Raw genomic sequence first — 6000 nt, 5'->3', positions numbered from 1 at the left:
TTGTTTTTTGTTTCTAGAATTACATTATTCTCTGTAATAGCTGCGTAGAATTTCATCATATAGATGTACCATCTTTATTTAACTAGTCCTAGTAATGATACACATTTAGATTGTTTTCAGTCCTTGGTCATTACAAAGACTGCTACAATAAATAACATTGTTTAATTAATATTTCACACCTGTGCAAGTATATTTTTGGATGATACACTTGCACAGGGGTGAAATATTAATTAAATAATTCCTAAATGTGGAATTACATTTTTACTGTAATAGATATTGTCTAATATGTCTCCATAGCGTTGATCTGATTTACATTTTTACTAGCAATTTATGAGGGTGCCTATTCCCACACACCTCACCACAGAAAGAGTTCATTAGTTATCTATTGCTGTGTAAAAAGTAACAGTAGGCTGTGCACACTGGCTCTGCCTATAATCCCTGCACTTTGGGAGGCCAAGGTGGGCGGATCGCTTGAGCCCAGGAGTTTGAGACCAGCCTGGGCAACACGGTGAAACCCCCATCTCTACAAAAACACAAAAAATCAGCTGGATGTAGTGGCTTGTGCTGTGGTCCCAGCTACTTGGGAGGCTGAAGGGGGAGGATTGCTTGAACCCAGGAGGTGGAGGTGACAGTGAGCTGAGATCACTGTACTCCAGCCTGGGCCACAGAGAAAAAAAAATTACCACAATGCTAAATAGCTTAAAATAACATATATTATCTCATCTCTCAGTTTCTGTGAGTCAGGAATTTAAAGGAACTTAGTTGGGTGGTTCTGCCTCGCTGACTCTTATGAGGTTGGACAATGCTGCAGTCATCCAGGGTGGGAGGATCCACTTCCAAAACGTCTCACTCACATGACTATTGGCAGAAAGCCTCAGTTCCTTGAAAATGTGGACTTCTCTGCAGGCCTTCTGGAGTGTCCTCCTGACAGCAACTGGCCTTTCCCAGAGAGAGTGATCCAACAGAGAGAGCAAGTAGGATATAGCTGCGCCTTTCATGACAGCCTCAGAAGCCACAAATCACCGTGTCTGCTATGTTTTATTCATCAGAAGTGAGTCGCTGAGTCCAACCATATTCACAGGGAGGCAAAGTAAGCTCTACCTCTTAAAGGAAAGGAGTATCCAAGAATTTGTGGATATATTTTAAAACGGCCACAGTGAGTTATCAAACTTGTTTTTATCTTTGCCAATATGATAGGTGGAAATGGTATCTATTGTGATTTTAATGTGCAATTTCCTTATTGTGAGTTTTTTTACAGCTTTACTGAGGTATAATTGGTATACAAAAACTGCATATATTTAATGTGTACAATTTGATGAGTTAGAACATATGCAAACATCCATGATCTCATCACCACAATCAAGGTAATAGACATCCAACACCTTACAAGATAAACAAAATTGACTAATCTTTAGCTAGATTAAGAAAAAGAGGGAGACAACTCAAGTTAATGAAATCAGAAACAAAAGAGGAGACCTTGCGCTGTCACAGAAATTAAAAGGAGAGAGTAGTATGGAAAATGATATCACAACAAATTGGATAACCTGGAAGAAGCAGATAAATTTCTAGATACATACAACCTACCAAGACTGAATCATGAATAAATAGAAAATCTGAACAGATCAATAATGAGTAAGGAGATTGAATCATTAATTTAAAATTTCCCAAGAAAGAAAAGCTCAGGACCAGATGGCTTCATTCATGAATTCTAATTTTTTTTTTTTTAGAAAAAGAAAACCATTCATATTTCCTTTCTGTAAACTGTCTGTCCATTACCTTTGTTGATTTTTCTGTTGGGGTTTTGATGTTTGTCTGAGGATATGAATTGCAAATATTTTCCCTGTTTGCCTGTTAACTTCCTCTGTGGTGGGATTTTTTTTTTCATGCCAACTTTCTAATGAAATTAAATTTTCAAATGTTTCTACTATTTGGAGCATCTTAGAAAGAACTTTAGGGCCAGGTGCGGTGGCTCACACCTGTAATCCCAGCATTTTGGGAGGCCGAGGTGGGCAGATCACCTGAGGTCAGGAGTTCAAGCCCAGCCTGACCAACATGGCGAAACCCCATCTCTACTGAAAATACAATATTAGCCAGATGTGATGGTGCATGCCTGTAATCCCAGCTACTGGGGAGACAGAGGCAGGAGAATCGCTTGATCCTGGGACGCAGAGGTTGCAGTGAGCCAAGATTGTGTCATTGCACTCCAGCCTGGGCAACAAGAGCAAAACTCCATCTCAAAAAAAAAAAGAAAGAAAGACCTTCAGCTCTCTGAGCATATGGTTAACAATCTGCTATGTGTTCATATATATACACATACGTGTGTGTGTGTGTGTGTGTGTGTGTGTGTGTTTTGGTGGGGGAACAAGGTTTGCTTTGTCACCCAGACTGCAGTGCAGTGGCATGATCATGGCTCACTGCAATCCTCCCACTTCAGCCTCCTGAGTAGCTGAGACTGAAGCAATCCTCCCACATCAGCCTCCTGAGAAGCTAGGACTACAGTTGCATACCACCACGCTCAGCTAATTTTTTAATTTTTGTGGAGACAGGTCTCACTGTGTTGCCCAGAGTGGCTTCAAACTCTCGGGCTCAAGTGATCCTCCTTCTTGGCCTCCCAAAGTCCTGGGATTACAGGCATGAACTGCTGTGCCTGGTCTGTTTTCTTCTATATTTTTGTGGTGTATTTTTTTCTATATTCAAATATTTGATTCACCTAAAATATATTTTGGTATAAGCTGTGAGGTAAGGAATCAAATCTTTTTTTTAGTTCCAGAAGTTGACTGCAGATCCTTGAATAACATTGTTTAGTTAACCATTTCTTCACAACATTGATGAGAAAAATAAATTGCTTTCCAGCCAGAGCCACTCTCTATGTGGAGTTTGCACTTTCTCCCCACATCTGCATGGGCTTTCTCCAGGTACTTTAGTTTCTACCCACATCCCAAAGATATGCACCTTAGGTTTATTGGCGTGTCTAAATTGTCCCAGTGTGAGCAAGAGTGAGTGCGTGGGAGTGTGCCCTGTGATGGGATGACATCCTACCCAAAGTTGGTTCACCTCTTATGCCCTGAGATGCCAAGATAGACTCTGGCCACCATGACCCTGAACTGAAATAAGCCGGCTGGAAAAGGAATGAATGAATACAAATAATTGTAAAGTAAAAATTCATAAAGTATTCAATAATCATGCAAATGCACAACAATAAACGATGAGGTACAAAAGCACTCAGCAAACCTACCACATTTATGACTGTTTTGGAACTGCATAGGGGCAAGAGAGGCTCCTCACAATTATCACTTTGCAAACATTTATTCCTTCATTTAACCCACCACCACTACACCTGCCATTACTCACTGACTCACCACAAATTGACTAGTCATTTACTGATTTTTATTAATCTTTCTCAAATGTTTGTATAGCTCATACTTATTTCAATGTTTAAGATTAGAACTGTTGGGGATATTTATTTAGAAGTTTGGCGATTTTTTTTTGTGCCAGAAATATGCCATAGGAACTTAGTTCTTGTTTCTCCTAATTAGCCTATGGTAAAATTAGTTTCATTATGTGTCCAGTTTCCAGTTACCTATAGACAAGCAGTCCCCAAATTTTCTTGGCACCAGGGACCAGTTTCATGAAAGACAATTTTTCCATGGGCCAGGGTGGCAGGGGATGGTTTAAAGATGAAACTGTTCCACCTCAGATTATCAGGCATTAGATTCTCATAAGGAGTGTGCAACCTAGATCCCTCACATGTGCAGTTCACAATAGGGTTCATGCTCCTGTGAGAATCTAATGCTGCAGCTGATCTGACAGGAGGTGGAGCTTAGGCCATAATGCTCACCTGCCACTCATCTCGGGCTGTGCGGCCTGGTTCCTAACAGGCCACAAACTGATAGCAGGGGTTGGGGACCCCTGCTATAGACAATGTTAAGTGAGGAGTTACTGTACCTAGTTTCACCAATATCATTTGTTGAATAATTGCTATGTTCTCCTTTGATCAGCTAGTGTCCTGTTAGGAAATGTGGAAGTACTCTAGATATTTCCAGCAGAGAATAAATTAATGCAAACAATTTGTGACAAGGAATTGGAAGGGCTAAAGAAGCAACAGGGGAAAGAGATATTAGTCTGTGATCATGACGCTGCTAGTGCTCCTGGGCTGGAAACCAACAGTTTATTTTCACTGCTGAGCTGCTGGCTGCAGGGCCATTGCTTTTTTGGAACATTTCTGTAGACATTGAGCAGGAACCCCAGAACTTACATTCTAAGGATGCTGCTCAAACTACCACCATTCTTACTAATGCTGGTGGAGCCCAAGTTACCTGCTGCTGATGTTCCTCCTGCGGCCAGAAGAGGCACCAGAAGCAGAAAAATGGCTCCTTCTCACCTCTTGTTCCTCAATCCCAACCAGTGAGTGGCCCTCAGTTGCAGAACCTTACCATAGGCAGCTGACAAGAAAATCCAGAAATGTGGCGCTCTGGCTTCCAGCCAGCATATTTGTGGCAGAGGGGAGCATGGAAGGTTGGGAATGGGGGTAAATGCCAACATATAATCGGCTCACCCTCTGCTTTGAAAAATCACAAAATAAATTCCTCAATGCTTGAGGATCTATTCCTAATTTTTTTCCACTAGTTTATTTATCTACTTAACATTCAGTGTCACGTTGTTTTGAATATTATGTTTTTATATCTAGTAGAAACAGTTCCCTCATTTTTTTTCATAACTTACCTAGCTTTCCTGGATTGTTTATTTTTTCCATATAAATTTTAGGAGGCCAAAGCCTTATCTGTTAAGAAATCAGGGCCATATAAGTTTTAGAATTAGCTTGTCTAGTTCTAAAAGAACTGCAGTTGCATTTTATTGGCAGTATGTTATACATTTAGTTTACCTTAAGGAGAATTAATATCTTTATAATGATATAATTTTCTATCAGTTTAGTATATTATTTGTTCAAGTGTCCTTTTGTGACCCTCATTAATATTTAAAGTTTTCATCCTATAAATCTTGTACATTTCTTAAGTTTATCCTTAAGTATTTCACGTATTTTGTATTTGCCCTTGGGGGCCTCTTGTTCTTATTGATTATAATTTGCATATATGAAGGCTATTGATTTCCATATACTACCTTTATTTAGTTACCTTGCCACATTCCCTGATTATAACAACATTTCAATTTATTGTCTCTTGGATTTTTTGAGGCAAATAAATCTGCTAATAATTATAACTTTATGTGCTATATCCCAACTTTTGAACCATCCATTTCTTTCTCTTCTCTAATTGTGCTGAAAAACTCCACTAGGCCATGATAAATTACACTAGTGACGCTGTGTTCTTTCCTTGTTCCTGATTTTAATAGGAATGCTTCTACTCTTTTCCTGATAGGCATGATACTGGGTTTTGCATAACACAGTAATATCTGTTAAATTCTATTCTATTAAAACTTTTTTTAAAAATCAAGAACAGATGTTGAATTTTCTCAAAAAATTGATGGAAATCTTTCTATAATATTTGAATCCATTAATGTGAAATATATTAATAAACATACAAATATTGAAACACCCTTACATTCATGGAATAAATTCCTTTGGTCGTGTAATATTAATCTTTTAATATGCTATCTGTTTGCACACATTTTATTGAGGGTTGTGGCAATGATCGTCATGACTGAGAATAGTCCGTAGGTTTATGTGTGTGCTCTTTGTCCTCATCCATTTAAAGTTGATTTTTGCTAGCTTCACTCTTAGTGACCTTGCTACCAATTTTCTCAGGGCTTCTTACAGTGGCCTCCTATATGCTGATTTTAATGAAATTGATCTTCTAAACATAAACCTGCAATATCTTTGGGGTGGAAGAAAAAAAGATACGAAAAGAATAAACATAAACCTGGACTTGATGTTTATTTCTTATAATTCCCTCATGGTTTTATTTAATTGCAGCAATCCACCAACATCTTTTTGATTCCTGACTTCCCTTTGTAGATTCTATACTGTGACTTGAAGAACAGTTG

At 38.8% G+C, this 6000-nt stretch overlaps 1 long non-coding RNA gene across 2 annotated transcripts in view, besides 1 other annotated feature; it reads left to right on the top strand.

Annotated features, from left to right (window-relative positions):
* Positions 618-867: an enhancer, noted in NCBI's record as "active region_22618". NCBI's record gives its function as "activates an Ori minimal core promoter by ATAC-STARR-seq in GM12878 lymphoblastoid cells {active_cell/tissue: GM12878}" and the evidence as "EXISTENCE:reporter gene assay evidence [ECO:0000049][PMID:35858748]".
* The window catches only part of LOC105379003 (uncharacterized), a 92996-nt gene continuing 87872 nt past the window's right edge, over positions 877-6000 (top strand). For both annotated transcript variants that reach the window (XR_948380.3, XR_001742683.2), the window contains exon 1: positions 877-1156. This is a non-coding gene — a long non-coding RNA (uncharacterized LOC105379003). The remainder of the gene's footprint in view (positions 1157-6000) is intronic.

This window comes from Homo sapiens, chromosome 5, assembly GCF_000001405.40.
Source record: "Homo sapiens chromosome 5, GRCh38.p14 Primary Assembly".
Classification (NCBI taxonomy): domain Eukaryota; kingdom Metazoa; phylum Chordata; class Mammalia; order Primates; family Hominidae; genus Homo; species Homo sapiens.
Note: the sequence above shows the minus strand (reverse complement) of the source record. Positions and strands in the feature narration are given on the sequence as shown.